This window comes from Homo sapiens, chromosome 14, assembly GCF_000001405.40.
Source record: "Homo sapiens chromosome 14, GRCh38.p14 Primary Assembly".
Taxonomy (NCBI): Eukaryota; Metazoa; Chordata; class Mammalia; order Primates; family Hominidae; genus Homo; species Homo sapiens.
In genome coordinates this window covers 64463541-64489210 of record NC_000014.9, presented here as the reverse complement: position 1 = coordinate 64489210, position 25670 = coordinate 64463541, and the positions used below count along the sequence as shown (strand labels likewise).

At 40.0% G+C, this 25670-nt stretch overlaps 2 protein-coding genes across 12 annotated transcripts in view, besides 2 other annotated features; one reads left to right on the top strand and one right to left on the bottom strand.

Moving 5' to 3' along the window:
- ZBTB25 (zinc finger and BTB domain containing 25) overlaps positions 1-25670 on the top strand; it is a 56108-nt gene that overhangs the window by 16003 nt on the left and 14435 nt on the right. For 6 of the 11 annotated variants that reach the window (NM_001354682.2, NM_001354686.2, NM_006977.5 and 3 more), the window contains one exon: positions 1154-11160. The exons of 1 other annotated variant lie outside the window; for it this stretch is intronic. In NM_001354682.2, the coding sequence (NP_001341611.1) occupies positions 1154-2288 (1135 nt within the window). In that variant the 3' untranslated portion in view covers positions 2289-11160. Of the gene's footprint in view, positions 1-1153; positions 11161-25670 lie in introns of those variants that run through there. 4 more of the 11 variants (XR_943522.4, NM_001354683.2, NM_001304507.1 and 1 more) reach the window with 4 other exon arrangements.
- On the bottom strand, positions 14708-23712 carry AKAP5 (A-kinase anchoring protein 5). Its single transcript, NM_004857.3, has 2 exons — positions 23598-23712; positions 14708-21079 (listed from the first exon to the last, which is right to left on the bottom strand). The coding sequence occupies exon 2, from the start codon at positions 20814-20816 to the stop codon at positions 19533-19535; it is 1284 nt and encodes a 427-aa protein (NP_004848.3). The 5' UTR covers positions 20817-21079; positions 23598-23712; the 3' UTR covers positions 14708-19532.
- Positions 23438-23507: a silencer, noted in NCBI's record as "silent region_5834". NCBI's record gives its function as "represses an Ori minimal core promoter by ATAC-STARR-seq in GM12878 lymphoblastoid cells {active_cell/tissue: GM12878}" and the evidence as "EXISTENCE:reporter gene assay evidence [ECO:0000049][PMID:35858748]".
- Positions 23518-23917: a silencer, noted in NCBI's record as "silent region_5833". NCBI's record gives its function as "represses an Ori minimal core promoter by ATAC-STARR-seq in GM12878 lymphoblastoid cells {active_cell/tissue: GM12878}" and the evidence as "EXISTENCE:reporter gene assay evidence [ECO:0000049][PMID:35858748]".

Below are 25670 nucleotides of genomic sequence, written 5' to 3'. Positions count from 1 at the left end.
AGTGGCATGATCTCAGCTCACTGCAACCTCCGCCTCCCAGGTTCAAGCAATTCTCTTGCTTCAGTCTCCCTAGTAGCTAGGACCACAGGTGTGCGCCACCACACCCGGCTAATTTTTTGTAATTTTAGTAGAGACAGGGTTTCACCATGTTGGTTAGGCTCCTCTTGAACTCCTGACCTCAGATGATCCACCTGCCTCGGCCTCCCAAAGTGCTGGAATTACAGGCGTGAGCCACCGCACCCTGCTGATTTCAATAGGTTCTTTCAGAAGTTTTAAGATATCTTTATTGTGGCTATAAACATATAAAATTTGCCATTTTAACCATTTTTAATTATACAATGCAGTGGTGATAATCACATTCGCAATGTTGTACAACCATTACCACTGTCTATTTCCAAAACTTTTTTATCACCCCAAACAGAAACTTTGTACCCATTAAGCAATAACTCCCCATCTCACCCTCTCAACCCCCAGAAACCGCTAATTTACTTTCTATCTCTATGAATTTGCCTATTCTAGATATTTTATATAATACTTGTCCTTTTGTGTCTGGCTTATTTTACTTAGCATGATATTTTCTGGGTTCTCCATGTTGTAGCATGTATCAGAACTTCCTTCTTTTTATGGTTGAATAATATTCCATTGTGTGTGTAAGCCATCTTGTGTTTATCCACTCATCTTTTGGTGAACACTCAGCTTCTTTCTACCTTTTGGCTACTGTAAGTAATGTTGCAGTGAACATTGGCATACAGGTATCTGTTTGAGTCCCTGTTTTTAGTTCTTTTGATCGTTTACTTGATAGACTGTTAAATTCCTTAAGAGCAGGTACCTATTTTATTCATCAGTTTTCTACCGCTGGCATCTAGTATAGTGCATATCACTTAGGAGTCACTTGATTAATGTTGAACTATTCAGAATGTATGTCTGTGTTTCCTAACTTTAGGCAGTAGATTGAATACATGAAGACTTTTTGCTAGGCCATAAAGTTGGTATAAAATGAAAGTTTAAGCCTTTGTTGCCATGTTTTATTAAGGCAGATTGCTAGGTTCGAACTTCTTAGGAAGAAATTGCTTTAGTCTCAGACTATACTGTTAACTGAAAGGCCAGCTAGGTTGTGTTTCATTTCTTGTGGGTCTGTTTTTGTTTTTAACAGTGAATGCATAAAAATACAACCAACTGACATCCAACCTGACATATTCAGCTATTTGTTGCACATTATGTACACGGGGAAAGGGCCAAAACAGATTGTGGATCATAGTCGTTTGGAGGAAGGGATTCGATTTCTTCACGCCGACTACCTTTCTCACATTGCAACTGAAATGAATCAAGTGTTCTCACCAGAGACTGTGCAGTCCTCAAATTTATATGGCATTCAGATCTCAACAACCCAAAAAACAGTTGTCAAACAAGGACTGGAGGTCAAAGAAGCTCCTTCCAGTAACAGTGGAAACAGAGCTGCTGTCCAGGGTGACCACCCCCAGTTGCAGTTGTCTCTTGCTATTGGTCTGGATGATGGCACTGCAGACCAGCAGAGGGCCTGTCCTGCCACCCAGGCCCTGGAGGAGCACCAGAAGCCCCCAGTTTCCATCAAGCAGGAGAGATGTGACCCAGAATCTGTGATCTCCCAGAGCCACCCCTCACCCTCATCAGAGGTGACAGGCCCCACTTTTACTGAAAACAGTGTCAAAATACACTTATGCCATTACTGTGGGGAACGTTTTGATTCCCGTAGTAACCTAAGGCAACATCTCCATACACATGTGTCTGGATCCCTGCCATTCGGTGTCCCTGCTTCCATTCTGGAAAGTAATGACCTTGGTGAAGTGCATCCCCTTAATGAAAACAGCGAGGCCCTTGAATGCCGCAGGCTCAGCTCCTTCATTGTTAAGGAGAATGAACAGCAGCCAGACCACACCAACCGGGGTACCACAGAGCCTTTGCAGATCAGTCAAGTATCTTTGATCTCCAAAGACACAGAGCCAGTAGAATTAAACTGTAATTTTTCTTTTTCAAGGAAAAGAAAAATGAGCTGTACCATCTGTGGTCATAAATTCCCTCGAAAGAGCCAATTGTTGGAACACATGTATACACACAAAGGTAAATCTTACAGATATAACCGATGCCAAAGGTTTGGTAATGCATTGGCCCAGAGATTTCAGCCATACTGTGACAGCTGGTCTGATGTCTCCCTGAAAAGTTCTCGCTTGTCACAAGAACACTTAGACTTGCCTTGTGCCTTAGAGTCAGAGCTCACACAAGAAAATGTGGATACTATCCTAGTTGAGTAGCAGCTTCTCTTTCAGAATTTTTATACCAATTCTGAAAAAGAAAATTTGCGTGGCATTTTTAATTCATAAATTATTTTCCTCCTCAAGTTTCATTGACTTTTTTTCTTCACAGCTTATCCATGGTTTTAAGGTTGTATATATTAGATCTTCTCATAAGACATATTAATATGTGGCTATTAAAATGTAACATTCAATTACTACTGTGAACTTTTCACAAACGAAATAACAATTTAGAAATCAGAAATCAATGTAGAAATATGGAAACCTTAAATAGTTATTTATAGAATTCTAAGTTTTTCCAGTTATAGAATCAGTAAAATCAAATTGAATATAAAGTAAATGAAATCTGTTTTAAAGCATATTCTAAACTATCACTTCTGCCTACATTTCACATGAATTCACTCCTACCAGGATTATTTTTAAATATTTTCTTCCATATAGGAAATTAATAGTTACTTTAATGCATAACTGTATGTTATACATATGTTATAATGTATAAAAATTTATTTTAAGATATACCAAATCATGAGTAGTTTTATTTTTTAACTACTAGCTCCACAACATCTTACCTACATGGCTTCTCTTTACTTTTTAACATTGAGTATACCTCTTTTTTTTTTTGAGACAGAGTCTCTCTGTGTCGCCCAGGCTGGGGCGCAGTGGCGCGATCTCGGCTGACTGCAAGCTCCGCCTCCCGGGTTCACGCCATTCTCCTGCCTCAGCCTCCTGAGCAGCTGGGACTACAGGCGCCCGCCACCACGCCCAGCTAATTTTTTTGTATTTTTTTAGTAGAGACGGGGTTTCACCGTGTTAGCCAGGATGGTCTCGATCTCCTGACCTCGTCATCTGCCCGCCTTGGCCTCCCAAAGTGCTGGGATTACAGATGTGGTATATCTCATTTTTAATAAAAAAAACAGTTAAAGGGAGAAGAGTCAGAGAGACATTAAAAAATATTTAAGAAACAGTAAGATATACACACATAGATAAATAAGCATGCAGAGACAGAGACTGAGCTAGAACTGCATTGACTAAAAACCCCAGGGTTGTTAACTTGGTCTAGAGTGTTTTCTTAGACACCTTAAAAAGTAATTTGAGATTTTATGACCAGAGGTTTACATGAGTTGAAAGAGAATGATGATAAAATATAAATCATGTTTCTACCCTCAGCGTCAGGATTTTTGGGGCTTCCTGGGTTGATTTTAATTTTCTAAAAATCACTGAAAAAGTAATTTTTCAGTGGCACAGTTTTCACTTTTTTCCTGATCCATAAAACCAGCAAAGTGGATACATTCAGTGTTCTATAACTACATTTAAGATCCATGATGTTAGCTTTTCCTCTATAAATCAACTTAACTCTCTTTTATAATGGTGACACTTACAAAGCTAAAACCCCAGGAAAATTAAAGTTGATGAAAGAAATAACAGATTCCCCGGCTCTATATACCTGGGAAATAGCTGGTTAAGCTTCACCACAAAGGATAGATCTAAATTGTTTCTGAAATGTTTAAATTTCAAACCCCGCATAGTCAAGGATAATAAAACAGACTCATCTTTTTTTGCCCTCTTGTTAAATTCTAAGCTTCACGGGCATTTGAATACATCTAAAAAATTTGGTTTGTGAGCCTTAGAATTTAACCACTTACAAAACTCTTGAGCTCCCTCCACTTCTGAGGACGTTTCCTGACACATTCAACAGCATCAGCGTCCAATCAGGAGGGAGCTCAAAGAGTAATCCAGCTAATTCTAAGGACACAAAGGTTTTCTCTAGGTAAACAGTTTAGGTAAATTACAAAGTGGTAAGTTTTTCTTGAGGATTGAATGAAGAAAGCTACTGGATATTGTGTAAGGCAGTTGAGTTTCTGCCTTAAACAAGTGAGTAAAGGCTCCTATGGTTAAGACTGATGTGTGTTGAGAGCACATCTAACTTGATAAGATCAATTGTATTGGGAGTAATTAAAACAAATGTATGTTCTTTGGGGTCAGAACTTTGTCTAATCTTAAACTTTTTTCTACCAATTCACTTAAGCAACTATTGAAATTTGTACTGCCCTCAAAAATATCATCTCATTGGAAGAACACAAGTATTAACATTGATTTTTTGTATTTTAGGCTAGTTAAGATATATTTCCTAGCCTTCTTCAATTCAAATTCTATTGTTCTTATTAAGATAATTTTTCTCCTCTATATTCTTCCCTGTTTGCCTACTCATTATTATTATTTTTTTAATTTAATTTTTTTTTAAGATGGAGTTTCACCCTTGTTGCCCAGGCTGGAGTGCAATGGCGTGATCTCGGCTCACTGCAATCTCTGCTGCCTGGGTTCAAGCGATTCTCCTGCCTTAGCCTCCCAAGTAGCTTGGGATTACAGGCATGCACCACCATACCCAGCTAATTTTGTGTTTTTAGCAGAGACAGGGTTTCACCATCTTGGTCAGGCTGGTCTGGAACTCCTGACCTCAGGTCATGCACCAGCCTCGGCCTCCCATAGTGCTGGGATTACAGGTGTGAGCCACCGTGCCAGGCCCACTCATTATTCTTTGACACAGGAAATCCTTGTATATAGCTAAAGGGTGGAGGTAGAGTTGTACATGGTTGGTTGGATAAGACAGCAAGTGCCTCAGGGCAGAGTTTGGATAAATGGTAAGAGTTTGCTAGCAGCTGATTGGCCGTGATAGACAACACTCATTTAAAGCAGAAATATATCTGTTCGTTGAGAGTTAAGAAAATAGTGGTTAACTGTATTTCTATTCTTATAGTTCCTTTTAATATTAGAAATTCAAAGCAAATGCTCTTTCCTTGTTCCTTAAAACATTCATTCTGTTTAGGAAGTGGGAAAATATCAACTTCATTTTATAGAAAAAAAATCCCAAAAGCTGAATTCCAGAGATGCAGTGAATAGTGGTGTGGGACTGACCCCCAGTTTTTGTTATTGTTGTTTTCATTTATTCTGCAGGCTTTTTTTTTTTTTTTTTTTTTTTTTTTTGAGACAGTCGTGCTGTGTCGCCAGGCTGGAGTGCAGTGGTGCAATCTCAGCTCACTGCAACCTCCGCCTCTCGAATTCAAGTGATTCTCCTGCCTCAGCCTCCTGAGCATGTGCCACCATGCCCAGCTAATTTTTGTATTTTTAGTAGAGACAGGGTTTCACCATGTTGGCCAGGATGGTCTCGAGCTCCTGACCTCATGATCTGCCTGCCTCAGATTACAGGCATGAGCCACCGCGCCCGGGTCTGCAGGCATTTTTTAAAGTAACTGTCATATGCCTAACACTGTGCCCTGAGTATTATTTTTTAAAGACATGATTGCTCACTGAGAAAATTTGCTTTGTATTTTAAAAGTTCTTCCAGCTAGGCCAGGCGTGGTGGCTCATGCTTGTAATCCCAGCACTTTGGGAGGCCGAGGCGGGCGGGTCACGAGGTCAGAAGATCCAGACCATCCTGGCTAACACAGTGAAACCGCGTCTCTACTAAAAATACAAAAAATTAGCCGGGTGTGGTGGCACACACCTGTAATCCCAGCTACTCGAGAGGCTGAGGCAGTGGAATAGCTTGAACCCGGGAGGCAGAGGTTGCAGTGAGCGGAGATCGCACCACTGCACTCCAGCCTGGGTGACAGAGCGAGACTCCATCTCAAAAAAAAAAAAGTTCTTCCAGCTAAAACCTTTATTTTTTGACTACATCTCCACAAAATGGAGCTATACTGTTAGCCAGTATCCTAATAGTATAGTGCAGTTTGCATAATGATTACCAAGCTTGAAACTGGAAATGTCATATGCACTTTCGTGTGTATCAGGCAGATACTAAACATTTTCCCCTTGAGTCAGCTTAAAATTTTTCCTTCTTTTGAAATCTCACGCAGTTGTTTTCTGGAGAAAAATAGAGACTGTTTTAGTATTTGTTCTTATTAGCGTATCATCAGAACTCAGCACAGTCTGCCTTATAAGAAAACAAAAAATTTTTTTATTTATAACTCTTGAGATTGTTACTTCTTGCTCTTTCTGATTTCCCATCCGTAAAGTGGGTGTAAGCAATACTTACCTCACAGGGGTGTTGTGAGGATTTATATTAAACGTGTTAAGTTCTCTCAGTATTATTGATTAAAATCAACCATATAAACGACATTTATTCTGTAGCTAGACCTATTAACTTTAGTATTTCAGCCTATAAATTCTAAAATGTTCTTAAAAGCAGTAATGTACTATCTAATATTCAATAACTAATTGACAGAACTCATTGTTATTTTTTACAAATAACTAGAAACAATACTGTTGCTAGAATTCCTGTTCTACTGTAATTTAATCATCACTGTTTCTTTTTAGCCTTCAGTAAGGAGGATACTAGTTCTTTGGCATTATTGGGAATAAAACTTTGTCAATTTCAGCTTTATTGAAAGTTCTCCCAAATATATTGTTTTTGTTTACACAAAGGAAAAGGAACAAAAACAATAAATAAATACCTTTGTTTTTTTTTCTTTTTTGAGACGGAGTCTCGCTCTGTTGCCCAGGCTGGAGTGCAGTGGTGCGATCTCGGCTCACTGCAACCTCCGCCTCCCAGGTTCAAGCGATTCTTCTTCCTCAGCCTCCCGAGTAGCTGGAACTATAGGCACGCACCACCACACCCAGCTAATTTTTGTATTTTTAGTAGAGATGGGGTTTCATCATGTTGGCAAGGCTGGTTTCGAACTCCTGACCTTGTGATCTGCCTATCTCAGCCTCCCAAAGTGCTGGGATTACAGGTATGGGCCACTGGGCCCAGCCTATTTTTATTTCTTTGATGTAGGTGATCTAAATAGTAGATGAGGACAGGAAATGGGGTGAAGGTAATAATAGTATTATTAGAAAAGTCTTCACTGAAAATTGAAGGAAATACATATTAATCGTGGAAAAAGATAGTGTGAAAAATGTGTAATTTCGTTAACATTTATTTGTACAGGCACATTCTTGATGTTGTGAGTCAGATACTTGATAAATGTCCATTTTTTGTAGTAATTGATGTAAAAATGGGCCATGTGAAGAATTTTCATAATGTAATTTGTGTCTTTGTATATTTTGAACTACATATAGATTTGTGGCACTTAAATTATTAATTTTTGATTTCTTAAGAGTGAAGTCTGTAAATGATTTCTCTCTGCTGTACTTCTGTGTTTGTATGGTTGGACATTTTGAAAACTGGTGAGATTGCACAGTCCCAAACCTGGATGTCTTAAATACAAGGAATTACAAACTGTGATTTTTGTCTTGAAGACCTGGAAGAATTCATTGTGCTTCAGTATGTATTTGTACTGCACTTGATTAATTAGTTAAGTATTGGTCTGGTGCAATTGACATTAACTGTCATCAACTCCTCTATTTTGTGCTAAATAAAGTCATTTAGTCAGAATGGATCAAATATAAACTTATACTTTAAAATAAACTTAGATTATAAAAACTTGTTCAATAAAAAAGACCCACTGAAAAATCTTCAAAGTACATGTAACACATAGCTAATACAGGAGACCAAAATCAATAATACATTGTGTGGCTAAACTCATCCACCTAATGTACTGTGAATTTGCTTCAGAAACATTCTTTTAGAAAGTTGTGTATCTGCCGGGCATGGTGCCTCATGCCTGTAATCCCAGCACTTTGGGAGGCCAAGGCCCAGGAGTCCGAGACCAGCCTGGGCAATATAGTGAGACCTCATCTCTGCCAAAAATTTTGGCCAGGGGCAGTGGCTCACGCCTGTAATCCCAGCACTTTGGGAGGTCGAGGTGGGCGGATCACCAGAGGTCAGGAGTTCAAGATCAGCCTGGCTAACATGGCGAAACCCTGTCTCTACTAAAAATACAAAAATAAGCCAGGTGTGGTGGTGCGCGTCTGTAGTCCCAGCTACTTGGGAGGCTGAGACAGAATCATTTGAACCCGGGAGATGGAGGTTGCAGTGAGCCGAGATTGCGCCATTGCACTCCAGCCTGGGCGACAGAGTGAGACTCCGTCTCAAAAAAAAAAAGGCAGGGTGTGGTGGCTCACACCTGTAATCCCAGCACTTTGGGAGGCCAAGGCGGGCGGATTATGAAGTTAGGAGATCGAGACCATCCTGGACAACATGGTGAAACCCTGTCTCTAGTAAAACACAAAAAATTAGCTGGGTGTGGTGGCACGTGCCTGCAGTCCCAGCTACTAGGGGGGCAGAGGCAGAGGAATTGCTTGAACCCGGGAGGCGGAGGTTGCAGTGAGCCGAGATTGCGCCACTGCACTCCAGCCTGGCGACAGAGCAAGAAACAATGAATTTCATATATTTTATCAAGACAAATTAATGTGACTTAATCAAAAACAAGTTTATTAGCTTAGCTTATAGAATGTGTTCTTATTTTACATCAGTGTTTGCCAAATGTTGTGTTCCTAGTGTTGAGGCAAGTAGTCTTTGTACTGGGTAACATTTTGGAGGTGTGATGCAAAAATGCATTTGTGGACCTAATTCTTACCGACCATAATCTGTGTTAATCGAAAATTGACGTCCTAATCAAATGCTTTCCAACTGCTGTCTCTGGAAAGAAAGGTAGTATTTCGTCATTTCCCAGAAGTTTCTTGCTTTGCTTCTTCTTTTTTTTTTTTTTTTTTTTTTTTGAGATGGAGTCTTGCTCTGTTGCCCAGGCTGGAGTACAGTGGAGTGATCTCGGCTCACTGCAACCTTCACATCCCAGGTTCAAGCTATTCTCCTGCCTCAGCCTCCCGAGTAGCTGAGATTACAGGTTCCCACCACTACACTCGGCTAATTTTTTGTATTTCTAGTAGAGACGGAGTTTCACCATGTTGGCCAGGCTGGTCTCGAACTCCTGACCTTGTGATTCACCTGCCTCAGCCTCCCAAAGTGCTGGGATTACAGGCGTGAGCCACCGCGCCCAGCTGCTTCTTTCTTCTCTATTTACAGTCTACTGTATCGCCTTTTGCCCCCAGTAACATGATCCACAATAGTAGTTCTCAACTGAGGTATATTAGTCAGGATTCTCCAGAAAAAGAAAGAAACAACAGGTAGAACTGAGAGAGAGAAAGAGATTGATTGATTATAAGGAATAGGTTCATGTAATTATGGAGGCTGAGAAGTCCCAAGATCTGCAGTTGGGAGGCTGAGAGGCTGGGGAGTCAGTGATGTTCCAATCTGAATTTGAAGACCTGAGAACCAGGAGAGCTTATGGCATAAGTTCCAGTCCAAAAGCTGGCAGGCTTGAAACTCAAGAAGAGCTGATGTTTCCATTTGGGTCCAAAGGGAAGAAAAGACCGATAATTGCAGCTCAAGCAGTCAGGCCAGAGAAAGTCTCTTTTTTTATTATATTCTGGCCTTCAACTGATGGAATGAGAGCCACCCACATCAGGGAGGGTGATCTTCTTTACGCAGTCTACTGATTCAGATTTTGTCTCCCTCCAGAACACCCTCACGGACACACCCAGAATAATGTTTGACTAACTATTGGGGCAGCCCATGGCCCAGTCATTTGGACACATAAAATTAAACATTACACAGGGCTATCCCCCCCCATAGAGACATTTGACGATGTGGAGATGTTTTTGGTTGTCACAGTTGGGTGGGCGATGAGGGAGGCTGCTGCTGGCATCTAGTAGGTGGAGGCCAGGGATGCTGCTAAACATCTCAGTGCAGAGGACAGCCTCCCGCAATACAGAATATGTACCTCAAAATGTCATTAGAGCTGAGGTTGACCAACCCTTCTGAGACCTTAAAGTAAGTTTTGTGATGGCTGTCAGGAATAAAAGAATACAAAGAAACCCAATTTGGGGGATTTCTATTCTAGTCATGTTTAGAGCAAGTATTGGAGTATGAGATGTGTTCAGAATTAAATTCTATTTGTATTATCCTTGATCCCAGCTTTTAAAAGATAAAAATGTGATTATTAGAAATAAAAGGAAAAAATGTGATTATTAAAAATCAGAGATGTATTAATCAGCAAGACAGTTTTGAATCTATTCATATAATGTTTGAACTAAATAATTGTCTCCCCAAAGAGGTCTCTTCATGAAATTGAGATTGTAGGTTATAATTTCTGTGAATTTTTAATCTGGCCAAAAGGTGGCACCAGTGTACCTTTAAAAAAATGTTCATTATACTTGAATTCAGCATTACTATTAATAGTAAATATTATTTAGGGCTTAGCTACTTTTGGATCATGCTTTATAGAGTCAAGACTAATGAGAATTTTCTTAAAATTTCATAAGGTACTGCAATATCTTGACATCCCTCTTTAATCAAGATGCTTCTGATTTACATGTACATATCTCAGCAGATAACTTTTTAAAATATCACATTATTGTGCTACATTGAGCATTTCTGAAGATTTTTCCAAGCCATTAACTGTGAGGCCTTGGAATTTGGGCTCTTTTAATCAGGCATCACACTCAGTTTTTGGTGTTCTGCCTGGTCAAGACATAGATTGAAGGACATTTGAGTAAATACGCTCCCTTGCTCCTTTCTTGCCTTTTGTTCATTTTTTGTACATCCACAATCTATGAGGTATGTTACCTACTGAAATTTACTTTCTTTTCCAACTGTGGTTCAACAACTGACTTTCTTCTCTCATACTTTCCAACCCATTCCATTCTGAATAAGTTAAGAGTTTTCTTACCTTCAGCTCTTCTCACCTTCCAATACTAAGTGAATACAGCCTGCCTCCCCCTTCATTTCTGATTACAATATTATTCTCATCATCCTAGGACTTTGTACCTAATCACCAGTTGCTTCTCCTAAGTTTATTTTACAGCTGATAAGCCAACTTGGAAAATGAGCCCACTCTCCCTCAGATACATTCTCTTCCGCTGTTTGAAACGTTTTTCATTGAAACAATTTGGTGATATTGTATCAAAATAATAAAGTATTAAGCTACTGGAACACCATGGTGTCCTTTCATGTCAAACGTCTGAAGGAATGACAGTCCTCCAAGAGAGATTCTCTGTACAAATGGTGTGTTCCCACTGTCCTGGAAACAGGAGAGGCTTGTGCCAGGGGGCTGGAGAAGATGGCTCTCACCCACTGTGGTCGTCATCCCTTGTCTGGTCTGTGTTATTAACAAGTTTCAGGAGGTTCCGTGTCAGATTTATGTGCATCCAGCAGGCCTTTGAGGAATGGGATCTTGTGTATTTAGCACTGCCACATTTTTTCTATAGTGGAAGCCATGTGAAACTTAGTCCAAACCATATGCAGGTAATTAAAAAAAAATTTTTTTTTGAACTGGCATTTATGGTAACTACCATATAGGGAGGAAAACCTGAAGAACCTGGAGTGGTTCTGTAGAAAGTGAAGTCACACCTGTTACTTTTTGAAGGTGAAAACATATTTGCAAAGGCAAGGGAAGAGGTTTTAAAATGCAGATCAAAGATTCGAGGGGAGTGAATCTCAACAGTATTCCTAGCTAACCACTTCTCATTTCCCAACATTGCTCTTTTTTCACATGTGTGCTGTCTGGTGGTGTGAGCTCAGTGGTTTCTGTCCCCTCTATCACAATATTTTAACGTCTATGAGGAAAGACATATAAAGGGAAGAGTCCTTTTTTTAAAATCTTAAATATCTCCTATTTCACTATTAACATACCAGTTTTGCTGCTCTCTCAAACTGGTGGCTATGCTCAGAGCCACCATGATGGCCATGCAGACAATGCACAACACAGTGCTAGGGGGTGCCTCGATTGAATGAAGGCTTCTCCCAGAGTTGTGCTGTGCCAATGGCACAGCTGTGCGTGACAGCCTTGCCTTTCCTTATCCTGGTTTAAACACTGGGTTTAAGAAGCCCTTATTTTGAATTTCTGCAGCAAGTAGCAGTTTTCACTGATTAGTCAGGATTAAACTAAGATAGACAAGTGGTATAGAAATCAGAATAAGATTTAAAATTACCCCGAGGTGACACAACTAATGGCTTGGTCAAAATTGGTAGAACTTGTATTAAAAGGGTGGATTTTGCTGTATGTAAATTATACCTTAATGAGAAAAAGATTCATACCACTCAGAAAAATATAAGTCTTAGAGTTTGATGAACCCTAGTGATTATCATTATTCACTGTTAATCCTTCAGGAAAAACACAACAGCCAGATACTGAGGGTTTTTTAAAGAATTCTAAACAAATTCACCCTGAAATCAGGACAATTACTGATAAGGCTATTTAGGGAACATTTGGATAAAAGATCAAAAACTGAGTTTGACTTTTTTTTTTACCTGAATTGAGTCGTGACCAATTGTTTTGGCATTTTCTGCATCTCAGCCATATAGAGTACGAGGCAGTTCTAACTTAGTCATTCTGTCAGGAGGATAGAAATACTCTAGTTTTGAGCTGGGCGTGGTGGCTTACGCCTGTAATCCCAGCACTTTGGGAGGCTGAGGCAGGTGAATCACAAGGTCAGGTGTTTGACACCAGTCTGGCCAACATGGTGAAACCCCGTCTTTCCTAAAAAGAGAAAAAAATTAGCCGGGCATAGTGGTGGGCGCCTGTAATCTCAGCGGCAGGCTGAGGCAAGAGAATAGCTTGAACCTGGGATGTGGAGGTTGCAGTGAGCCGAGATCACTCCACTGCACTCCGGCCTAGGCAACAGAACGAGACTTCGTCTCAAAAACAAAAACAGAAATACTCTAGTTTTGGAAGACCTGTTTAAACAGAAGTGATATTCTAAAGTTCTTATGTTGCAAATGGCCATTCCATATGGAACCTTTGCGTTGTAATTTATATATATTTGATTAGCAGCACATGCATGCCTGAAGCTGCATTGTGATGGTGATTTTATCACAGATGTGGTACAGAAACCCACTTGTAGTCATACTGAGCAGACCTGTGACCTGTCAGAGTAGGGATTTGGGAATAAAAGGTTCGGGTACAAGTGTAGAAATGACTGCATCTGCTTTGGTGTCACCTTTTGTTTCCTATCTCCCAGGAGTGCAGAAATGGAAGGCCTGGGTCCTAAGACCACAAGTATAGCTGTGAAAAGTGTATAATCCTTCTCCCATAGTAGCACTGTCATATCAAGGCCAAAAGTTCTTTTTGAGTTTCACCACAAAGCAAGTGGTGGGGAAAGTGCATCTAGTTTTGCTAAAGTCCTGAAACTGCTGGACACTGCTCCCATTGTTATGATAGGCTGGAGTTTACGGAGACAGTTTTAAGGCTGGGAGTTTCCCAGACGCGGCGCCACACCATCCTCTCCTCACCTAGGTTTCCCTTCACTGCTCATTGTGCCCACACCCAGTTTTGCAGAGGATTTTCTGTGAATGTGTAGTGCACAGACACGCATACTCTCTTTCCTAAGCTCGGGAACTTAACCCCCAGTAAGCTTAAGCTTTCAGGAAGGAAGAAAGAAAGAAAAGTAGGTATTCACAAAAGGGTTGGGGACTCCAGACGTCAGCATTAAAGGTAGGTCTAAAAAGGGATTAGCAGAATTGCCTGTGAGGACAACTTTTGTGAAGTGTAGTGTATCTTTTTTTTTTTTTTTAAACCAAGAAGAGATTTAATAAAACTTTTTTTTGAGACAGAGTCTCGCTTTGTCGCCCAGGCTGGAGTGCAATGGCATGATGTCGGCTCACTGCAAGCTCTGCCTCCCGGGTTCACGCCATTCTCCTGCCTCAGCCTCCCCAGTAGCTGGGACTACAGGCACCCGCCACCACGCCTGGCTAATTTTTTGTATTTTTAGTAGAGACGGGGTTTCACCATGTTAGCCAGGATGGTTTCCATCTCCTGACCTTGTGATCCGCCCGCCTCGGCCTCCCAACGTGCTGGGATTACAGGTGTGAGCCACCGCGCCCGGCCATAAAACTTTTAAAAATCCTGCAAAATGTGAAATATTAGCTACCCTATTACAGTGTTTGTACATTAAGAAGACATTTTGCTTTGAAGCCAGATTCGTTTTAGGACTTTTAAGGTATTATCAAGTTTTAAATTGGTTCCAAGATTTGGAAAGTACAGTCCTTCCTAGAGCCTGATTGTTATCATCGGGCTGTGGTTACGAAAAGATAGAGTGTTAACATTACCAAAATGAAATCAGTGTCTTAGTAAACACAGAACTTTTTAAACACCCACCTTTAGTATGTACCGTCTGAATAATTCTAGCATTTTCACATTGATTAGTCTTTTGAAAAATCATAAAGATGAACAATTCATAGGTTAATGCAGAAAATAATGAGTATATCAAGAGATGAAAACAGTGTGCTTTTGTCAAATTCACAAATGTCATCAAATTCAGAACTGCCCTTTTGGCTGAATTAGTTCAGCATTGTAGGTGTTTATATTTGTCTTGCTGAAGGACTGTTTTAGGAGTGTTGTTGTAAAATCTCTGTCCAATTCCCAATTAGCAGAGTAGAACTTTTGGTAGTGCGAACTCAGTAGTTCCATCAATGTGATCTTTACAGTTATAGGAAATGAACATAGTTTGCCCACAGTTCTTTTAAAAGATCTGAATAAACATGAGTCAATATAACATTTATTCTGTATTAATAATCAGTACATAAATTAATTCAACTTGAAACCTTTTTTCTACAGAGTACTATTTAATATTATCATCTGATCCATAGTAATTTAGTACTAATTTTAATGAGAAAAAATGAAACTTTTACTTTCATAATAGCTCATCCACTTAACATTTTTACAAAGAACTACTATAAATATGTAACACTATGCAGGCTTTTTTCTACACCTAGTCACAAATCAAAATAAGCATACTGTTTATTTAAAAACGGAACACTTTCAAACTGCTGCTGTATTCAGATCACCACCTTCCCCACACCAAATTAATTGCTCTCTCTGTGTACTCCCCTCTGTGCCACTCATGTTGCAGCATTATCCATGGCTCTTTGCCTTAACCCAACCCGGTTTCTGTTGTCACTGCTCCCTAGGTTGAGTTCTTGGATGGCAGGGAGCCTGTCTCCCTTATCAAATAGTGTTAGGTATGAGTTATGCCTAATACGTGTGTTGAATCAAATTGAATTTAATTAGGACACCTGAATTTTATGTAGCTTCCTTCTAATTTTTGTAACTAAGGAGCATTACAAATTTTCTTTTCAAAATGTACCATAAAATATACCATGGATTGAAATTTTGAATTATGTATAAGAGAGTTCATGTTACCCAATAAAACATCATAGGAATTTGAACCTAAAGAACTCTAAATCTTAAATGAGGATTTTTTTTTAAATGCACAAATGGCAGGCAGAAAAATCAAATCCTGCTATATTATCAGATGAAATTAGAAAGTAGACTACATATTTCAATAAAGTTGACATTAAAAGGATCTTTTCAAACAGTGGGATTCTAAAGCCTAACAATTATTTTTTAAATTCTGTTGTAAACCTCGAAAAACATTCTTAACTATAAAAAATAAGGTAACTTGAAGTTAGAAATTTATGGATGAAGTTAGAAATGTATGGATGAAGTTAATGCTGGATTGCATACAGAAGCCAAATTTGGTGCCTCCATGATCCATATCTTTAATGCCTTTAGCAAGCCTGTTCACATATACTGGTGAAATAACAATCTCTCAGAAGTAAATAAAAGAGATTCTAAGACTCCGCTGAGTAGTAGACCAAGTAAGATCATCACAAACTTCATGCTGTCAAATACATTACCTTGAAGGAAAATTATGCAGACAGCTTTTCTGAACAACTCCATTTATGCCACATGCTTATTATTCTTTGAGGTGGAGGAGGTGGCAGGGAACATAATTTCTGTTTGAAAGTTCTTTTGTTTTCTGCTACCTTTACTTAAATGTTACCGGGTACTATTTTTATATCCTATAAAGTGCTTTGAAAAAATGTTAAGTGAATAGTGCTACATAAAATAGAGGAGAATTTTCACATTCTCTGGGTTGTAAGAAGCAAAGTGAATAATACTTGAGTCTTAAAAGAGGAATGATAATATGCTGAAAAAGTTAACAAGTAGCTAATAATCCCCCTCCCCAACCCCCAGCTTTGCAAAATTCTGGGTTCAAAGAGAAACTGAATTTTGGCTAATAAATAAATAAACATTCATTAAAAGCAGAATTTATACCACAGCAAATGTAAAGAAAATTCATGTGGTGTTCCTAATAATTATTTTAATGTTGTTAAATGGACATGAATTGAAACAGAACTTATTTATATTCACTTAACGTTTGCATATAAGGTCAAATTGCTTAAATACTATTACAAGAAAAATATTTTATGACTCTGAAGCCATCTGATTTCTGCATATTTCTATAACAATAAAACAATTTGAATCACCTTAGAATTCACTGTAATAGGATTTGGCCATGTAGCACATATAATCAGATTGAGACCAGTTAATTTCGGAATTCCTTTTTCTAACTGAAATCCTACTTAATTCAACAGATATTCTCAATAGAAAAACAGAAACCTCTTAAGAATGAATGCAAGTAAAATATACATCTTATCATAAAAACAATCAGTACATTCTAACCAAAAATATATATCAAACCACAGTGAAAAAAGTAAAAACCTAGTATTAGATAAAATTTTACTTTCTTAACCAAAAAATTCATTGCACATATTTACCATTTATCTGTTTTTTTAAAAATCCCCCAAAATATTTCCAATAACTGCTAAGTACTATACTTTTTGCTTGTTCATGAGATTACTAAACATTTACAATGCAAGTGTATTGGCTTGGAGGCATCCTTGCAGTAAATGAGGGCAGGATTCTTCAATACACTGTAAAATGCACCAACCTTAGTCAGGTTTTTAAAATGGTTCACTTTTAAATATGATAGCTGGTAGCTGTCCAAGTCCATTAGCACCACATATAGTGAGTTAAAGAGTGTTTTCAGAGAAGATGACTCGTCTTTTTTGTTTTTAATGTTTAAAAGTTGTACAATTAAAAGAAATTGACTTCTTGGGTCATGTGTTTTGAATGACACTTTTCATCTTGCTCAGGATTTCCACCCTCCTCCCCGGATTATAAGCATGAAGGTAGGAAAATCTGGGGGAAATATTTTTGCACTTCAGCAAAGAATCTTGCTAATAATATCCATGATTTGGTTCAATTTCCAAGTCAGATTAGTTTCTTTTGTTAGAGGTCTCAATATGTATTTACAGAAAGAAATGAAGATGATTCTGTAGGACAAAGTAGCAAATACTTTCTATATGCAATCCATACACAATGCAAGAATTCACCCAGATCATTTAAAATCATCTAATGTGCATTATTTCCTCCAAGTGGAGCTCTTGAACAAATACCTTACATCTCATACTTCATCTTTATTACTTCATCTGTTTCAAGTAGTAACACAATCACTCAATTTACACAATGGGGGAATACACACTTTGAATCCTAACCTGTGAGGTAGGGAAGTGCACTCTGGTATTATGGCCATTTCACACAAGGAAAGATTGAAATAGGATTACTTTTTCAAAAAATATGGCAATCATTGATGAGATCAGATGCTTCCCTTTCAATATGTAAATAAAAATGCAAATAAGCCCTTCTCATTTTTGTAAAGTATATCTGGATTGAAAATAGTGATGAAGGCCGGGTGCGGTGGCTCATGCCTGTAATCCCAGCACTTTAGGAGGCCGAGGCGGGAGGATCATGAGGTCAGGAGATCAAGACCATCCTGGCTAACACGGTGAAACCCCATCTCTACTAAAAATACAAAAAATTAGCCGAGCGTTGTAGTGGGCGCCTGTAGTCCCAGCTACTTGGGAGGCTGAGGCAGAAGAATGGTGTGAACCCAGGAGGTGGAGCTTGCAGTGAGCCAAGATCGCGCCACTGCACTCCAGCCTGGGCGACAGAGTGAGACTCCATCTCAAAAAAAAAAAAAAAAGAAAAGAAAATAGTGATGAAAAAGTTAACTTTCAATATTCATGTAAAATGCTTTTTACTGGTCTCAACACACAGACATGAAGGAATACTGACATTTAAATTATAATGTGCTTTAGCAATAACTTTTCACTTTTCTATTCACCCACATTCATGGCTCATTTTTGGCCGAGAATAAATATTTGCACTAGATTATTAGGATTTTCCAGGACCATTACTACCAGGCTGGCTTTGAATCTACTCTCCCCTCTTTGGAGAGAAGTTGATGAATATGGCTCTTAAAGAAGTAATTCTGCAAGATGAATCCTATATTATCTGTGATAATTTACTTGGGAATTTTCCCTTCTCCTGGATGAAGAATAATATTCCCCTTGTTTTGTTTTTGCTGTTTCATTTTTTAACTTTTCACAGATAAATCCATGCAGAAATGGATATATACAGATCTGTTGAGGCAGAAAGAAAAGCGGGGGAAAAACCCACTCTCCCTGTTTCTACACTTTTGCACTTAGTAACAATTTGCCTGATTGAAGGATTTGTGAATGGTTCTCTTTTTTTTTTTTTTTTTTTTTGAGAAGGAGTCTCGCTCTGTTGCCCAGACTGGAGTGCAGTGGTGCAATCTTGGCTCCCTGCAACCTCCACCTCTCGGGTTCAAGCAATTCTCCTGCCTCAGCCTCCCAAGTAGCTGGGATTACAGGCGTGCACCACCACGCCCAGCTAATTTTTGTATTTTCAGTAGAGATGGGGTTTCACCACATTGGCCAGGCTGGTCTCGAACTCCTGACCTTAGCTGATCCACCCGCCTTGGCCTCCCAAAGTGCTGGGATTATAGGCGTGAGCCACTGCCCCTGGCCAAATAGCGCTTATAAGAGACTTAAGACTAGGAAACCACTCACGTTTAATATCAATATGCATATTCTGCACACTATCTGCTGAAATTGGGAAAATGCAATGTATTTTTTGAGTTAAGCCTGCTGCTTAGGAATGTAACAATTACAAATCACATTCACAAAAGTAGCTCACCTTATTCACCATTTTAAACATATATGTGCACTGTAAAAAATAAGTTTTTAAAAACTTAATGTGATGTTAGCCTATACACAGAGCTGAATTATCAAAAGGAAACCAGACTTTGTTATATCAGAGGTCATTAAAAAGCTTATGGCATACCATAAGTGCTCAATAAATACACCTTCCTCCCCCAAAGCACTCCAATCTCCATATGCCATTTTAGCAACTCCCTGTATGTTATGTCATTTTACACTGCAATCTGTGCTGACTTCCTCCAATCCAGAAGTGACTGCATTTCAGTGGTAGAGTTTTATAAACTTGACTTAATCTTTAGCACTTCTGCGCTGGAATTGTACCTTTTAAGTTCTAGAGATGATAAATCTCTCATTTGTTACTGAGTAAGAAATGCCACAAATGTATAAAAGAATTCTTCATTAAGCTTGTTTTTTCTGCCGTGACTCTGGAGAGTAAGTCACTGTAGAAGATTGTTTATTTTATTATCATCAGAGGCCATTTCATTAACCAGCTGTTCTATTGACAACTGAATAGCATTCTTGACTAGAGAAGAGGCTGTTTCAATTAAGAGTGTTTCATATTGTTCTGAAGTTCTATCCTCAAAACCATTATCATTAGCAAAAACCCCTACTTGCTCATTTTCAGCTGAAATTAAGAATTGCTTAGGGACATTTTTAGATTTTGTAACATCAAATTCACTGATTTCAGTGTCTGTAATAATAATAGCAATTGGCTCCATTCTTTTGCTTTCTTCTGATTTGGATTTCTCTTCAGTGATCCCATTTTCTTTAAAATCTGATTCTTGGCTCAATTCAGTATCTTTTGGCTTAGTTTCTTCAGCTACAATCTCTGTACTTTCATAGTCTTTTCCATTTGGTGCACTTTCTAGGGTACTGTTACTGGCTTCTTCCACAATTTGTTGATCTGGAATTGCAGGTAAAGGAGGAACATCAGAAAGTACTGGCTGCTGATGGTCTGTTTCTGAAGTTTCAAGTGGGCTTGCTTGCTGGGGTTGAACATCTTGTTTTTCCTTGATCGTTTCAATTTCTTCAAGGATTAGAGTTCCCGTTTGAATAGCAGAATGCCCATTATCTAATCCAAGTTCTACTGAAATCACTTTCTCTCCAGAAGTTGTGCTATTGCTCACATTTGATTCACAGACCTCATCACCATCTTTCCGTGAGATGCCTTCACTTAGATCCTGGGTTGACTTAGCCTTTGTTGCCTGATCATTCAATGGGGTCTGTGTTTGTATATCCAAAATTTCAGCTTCTTCCTGGACTTTGATGCTGCAGTCTGAGTCTTCTATAATTTTGGAATGATTACTCCTTTTTGGCCCTCTTGGGAATTTTATGCAGGGAATCTTAAGTCTAGATTTTGCCTTTTTCTTAGAAAGATCAGCATCCTCAGCATTTATTGCAGGTTGCATTTCACCCTCCAATGGCTTTTGCTGCTTTGAAGACTCTGACCTTTTCCTGCGTGTTACAAGACGTTTGAGTGAGGCCCAGGCCCCCCGTGTGGGCTCTGGCTGATCAGAAGCTCCTGCTTCTTGTGGACACTTCCTTGCCACATCAGCAGCTTCAGAGCCAGCTTTGGGCTTCAGTGCTTTGGCTGCTTTCTTTCTTCTCTTGAAGCAAAGCATGGATGCCTTTTCCTTCTGCCTTTCAGCCCCAGGACTACCTTCTGCTGATCTCTTCTCATCCTTGTTTTCTACATGAATTTCTGAAATTGTGGTTTCCATTTTTACACTGCACTCTTATTCTCTAGAAAACTGTATTCTCTCTTCCTTAGCAGCCTTTTGTGACAAAAAGATGAGCAAAAATGTCACACTAGGTAAAATTTCTTCCAGGCATATTCATACCTTTCATCTTACTCCATACAGTTGTTTTAGGTGGTTTCTCTAGTATAGAAATGCCCAGTTTCTCTATGGCTTGTAATTTCTCTCTTTAATTTCTTGATGAAAGCCCTTCTTTGGATAAATTTTTGCTTTATTTAAAGATCAACCTGATGAGAGAAAAGAAAGTGGTATTTTATTTCACTATGAGCCTATTATTTTCTGTGGAGACTATTTCAGTGAATGTATAAGATTCTACCAGGCATATTTTCCATATAATAACTTAATGAAATGACTGGAGAATAAACATTGGGGTTTACTTTGGCCCTATTAAAGAGTTCAGTGTGATTCTATTTTGTTTTATCCTCCTTGTTGAAACTTCATTTTGGATTACCCTGCAAGTCTGATATTATCAGTTCTTTAGTTGTGTTGTCTGTGTGAATTGCTTATGACTCTAAAGTGCAAGTTAAGCAAACAACAAGAACCAAAAATGAAGTGCAGGATGAAAAGCAAGCTGATGTAATCTTTATCACACTCAATAGATAATTTTAAAGCTGCAAAGGACTTTAGAGATTATTTGAGATTACTCAAATCCAGCCAGATGACAAAACTGAACTCCAGAGGGGAGCAGTTGTCTTGTCAAAAGCCATGCAACTAGATAAGGTCATAGCCAGAGTTAGAACTAGAGACTTTGACTCTCTAGTTTTACCATTATAACATAAGGTTTCTGTTCTAAAAATGTATGTTCCATCAAGGAAGTGCTATTTTTCATACATATTCTTAGGAAAATTTAGCATTACTGTCATTTCCCACTCTTAAATTAGTTGTACAATTTTGACATTTTCATTTAAGTACTGTATCTGCTGTATCACATGTTTCCACCATAATCTGCACATAGTTGGAAGTCAGTAAGAGTAGTAATAGCTGACATTTATTGAGCAATTCTTGGGTATTAGGCAGTGCATGCACTTTTACATACATCTCTAATCCTCACCACAATATTACAAAGATGGTGGTATCACCACGTACAGATGAAGCAATTTGGCTGAGATTACGGCAGAGCTGTAACAGAGCTCAGATTAACACAAGATTGCTTGTTGCTTAAAGCTTATGTTCTGAAACTGGGCTTTAAGAGTTTCGTCAGAAAATGAATTGTTTGGGGATACTAATCTGCAGTGTTTCATTAGTAAAAAAATTAAAAAATTGATTAATGGTCATTTAACCATAAGGCACTTATCAACTCATAATTGAACCACGAGTAGACTGAGTTCTTGTCATTTGAAAACCAAGCTTTTGAAATTCTTTATATTTTATTTTTTTGGTTCAGGAACTAATTTAAAAGCCAAAAATAAGTTGGCAAACTATGCAATTGGCAAACTTAGATAATATAAAGGTGTATTGAAAATTTAATCCTTAGAATGGTATGATGGCACCAAAGAATGGAAATGGGAGGTGATTATCCAACAAAGATCCTATGAATTTTAGTGGGTGGATGCCCTAAAATAAGCAAAGGGACTCATTCTTTATATTGTTTTTATGTAAATCCTTCACTGAAGTTTCATTTGGGTAACCCATAATTTTATGAACTGTAGAAGGAACTGGAACCCTGAAAATCAGTTTATGATCTAAGTAAATATTATCTTAGGTTGGGTGTTTCATACTGTGTGCCTCTAACAGAAAGATAAAGTCATTCTAGAACAATGACGGAACTAAAATATGAACATTTGACAGTGTTTCTCCTCACAATGTTTCAGTGAGCACTAGAACCTAAGCTGATAACTGTTTAAATCTTCTCACCTCTTGTGAGTTTTCAGCACCTGAGCATTTTTGTTAAGCAGAGGCTGTATTACCACATAATAGAAATATTGAAATGAGATGTTTAGGAGTCTGTCATTGGAAACTAACCTGGATTGCGCAAAGACAATCGTTTGAGAAGCTCACTTGAATGTATCTCACATACTAGAAATAAAACGAATACCCAAACAGAAACTTAACTAACGAGGGAAAATAATGCAGTCTGTAGACAATAAAACTTTGCAGAATGTCAGACTGCAAATGATTCGCTCTTAACCAGCAAGGGTAGCTTTATCGCCTCAGGAAATCTTAAAGTCCCTGTGCTCATTTCCTGATGGAATTGCAAGTCTCATGTCACAGAAAACACCCCCTTTCCTTTTTCCCTTGAGCAGCCAGTACCCGAGGAAAGCAATGCATCTTTCCCAGCACCAGATACGGACCACGAAGCTTCCTCCTGGAGGAAGGAATCTCGAATTCTGGCTTGACGCCCCTTATGGCAGGAGACAGAGCGCAGGATAAAGTACTCAAAAAGGAAAATGCCGGGGGCGTGGAACAGATAACCCAGCTTCAGGCTGTCTGCAGAATTATAATGTAATGGCCAGAAACCCAAAATCACATTTCTCAAAGAGGGATAAAGAAGGAAAAAAGCCACCGGCAACCCATGCTTCTAAGACAAGCTGTAACGCGAAGGGGATAGGTGGGCAGACCTGATGAGGGTCGCCCTGGCCGCGGATTCCAGCGGACAAGCGACCTCCCGCGTTCTTACTCCCAGCACCTCAGAGGGCTCGGATACCCCGTATCCAGTGGGCACCTCTTGCCCACTCCGCGGTCCGCGGACCGGACATTGCCCCCGACCCTCCTCCCCCGCAGGCTCCCCGCCCTGCCTTTACTTACGTAGGGCGTCGGGGTCCTTGGCCAACACTGCTCCCGAGGTGGCGGCGCGCTCGCGGGGCCCGCCGCCCAGGCCTCCAGGGAGCCGCGGTCGCACCCGGAGCAAGGCGCCCTCTGCAGAGCCCGCCGCCGGGTGCGCCCCCTCCCCACCGCGCGGGGACAGACAGCAGGCAGCGCCAATGCGAGCGGAGCGGAGCGGGCGGGCAGGGGCGGGGCGACCGCCGGAGGCGCGGGGCGGCGCGGGCGCCGGGACCCACCTGCAGCAGCAGCCTGCCTGCCTGCCGCGGGGAAGCCCATCGTGCTCCGCCCGGGCGCCAATCTCCACTGCCAGACCACATCAGCGCCGAGGCGGGGACCGCAAGAGAGCCAGCCGGAAGGTTCGGGGGGCGGGGGAAGGCGGGGGGGACCAGGGCAATGAACCCCGCGTTTTCTGAGACGCTAAATAGTGAGGTCCGGTTTCAAATTATAGACAGTCGCATTACACATCTCCTCTCCTCCCCCTCAGAATATTTAAAGACAAGGCAGACATCGCATTTTAAAAGCAGGATTCAAAACTGTGCATAGAATAGCGAGGTCATGTTTGTTTGAAGCGAAAATTACATATATAAATGGAAACAGAAAGAAACCCGACTTTCTCAGGAGTGGCTTGAGTGTCAGATCATCGTGGTTCATCGCCAAACAGGCTTTCAAACCTTTGTCTCCCAGTGGGAAGCAGGTGGAGGTGATTGGTGCAGAACTTTGGCCTGCAGGAGCAGCTGCATCTCTATGCGGACAAGGTGAGAAAGGCACAGGAACCCAGCTCCATCCATCTTATACCTTACATAGTTCCAAAAATAAGTTGAGGTAGCTTACAAGTTACCCATGATTCCCTTCAGGACATTCCCTATGAGGGCATTCCTGGGAGCTCCAGCTGTAAAATCTAGTAGGATCCATCACAATCCCAGCCTCCTCCTCTGGCCCCCATAGCATAGCATCCAGATGAAGAACCTGGTAAGGTGAAGTGAAGAACTACTGAAAAGCAGCCGCGTTCATCTCCTTTCTTCAACAGGATCACGACCTTAGGGAGTGTAAATGTCAGGTGTCCATTTTTGTATTTTTTCCGGAAATGTTTTATATTTGTAAGATTCTGTAGTTTCCACAGAGGCTTATCAAGGAAAGAACTCTTGAGACACAAAAGCAAAGCCAAATATAAGCTGTCAAGATCTTAAAATTACAGATAAAAGAGGCAAGAGTTGTAAAACAGGAAAATCCATAAGCATCTAGTTTAGTTGTAATTAAGAATTCAGGGATGGGCGCAGTAGCTCACACCTGTAATCCCAGCACTTTGGGAGGCCAAGGCAGGAGGATGGCTTGAGTCCAAGAGTTTGAGACCAGCCTGGGCAACATAGGGAGACAAAAAAATCTAAAAAATTAGCTGGGCATGGTGGTGCACGTATGGTCCCAGTTACTCAGGAGCTCAGGAGGCTGAGAAGGGAGGATCACTTGGGCCCAGAAGGTCAAGGCTGCTGTGAGCCACTACTGCACCACTGCACGCCAGCCTGGGCAACAAAGTGAGACCCTGCCTCAAAAAAAAAAAAAAATTCAGTCAGCCTTGTTCACTCAGCAAACACGTCTATCGAAATGGTCTGCGTATCTCTCTATGGGTTGCTAGCGCTGCTTGTTGCCAGTTTTGAACTTTAAGCCAAAAGAAATCCATTATGCTTATAAGCAATTGAGAACTATTCCTTATTGAGATCCAAGGTTTCTCAAAACTAGCAGACCTGGGAGTTTGCAAGAGTTTCAGGCAAAAAATAAGATGAGCTTATTTAGGTGAAGACAGGGTAAAATAGCTGTCTTATTTTTATTTTTATTTGAGACAGGGTCTTGCTCAGGCTGGAGTGCAGTGGTACAATCCCTGGCTCAAGCAATCCTCCCACCTCAGCCTCCCATGCAGCTGGGACCACAGGTATGCGACCACATGCCCAGGTTCTTCTTCTTTTTTTTTTTTTTGTAGAGATGGCGTCTCCCTATGTTGCCCAGGCTGGTCTTGAACTCCTGAGCTCAAGTGATCCTCCTGCCTTGACCTCCTACAGTGCT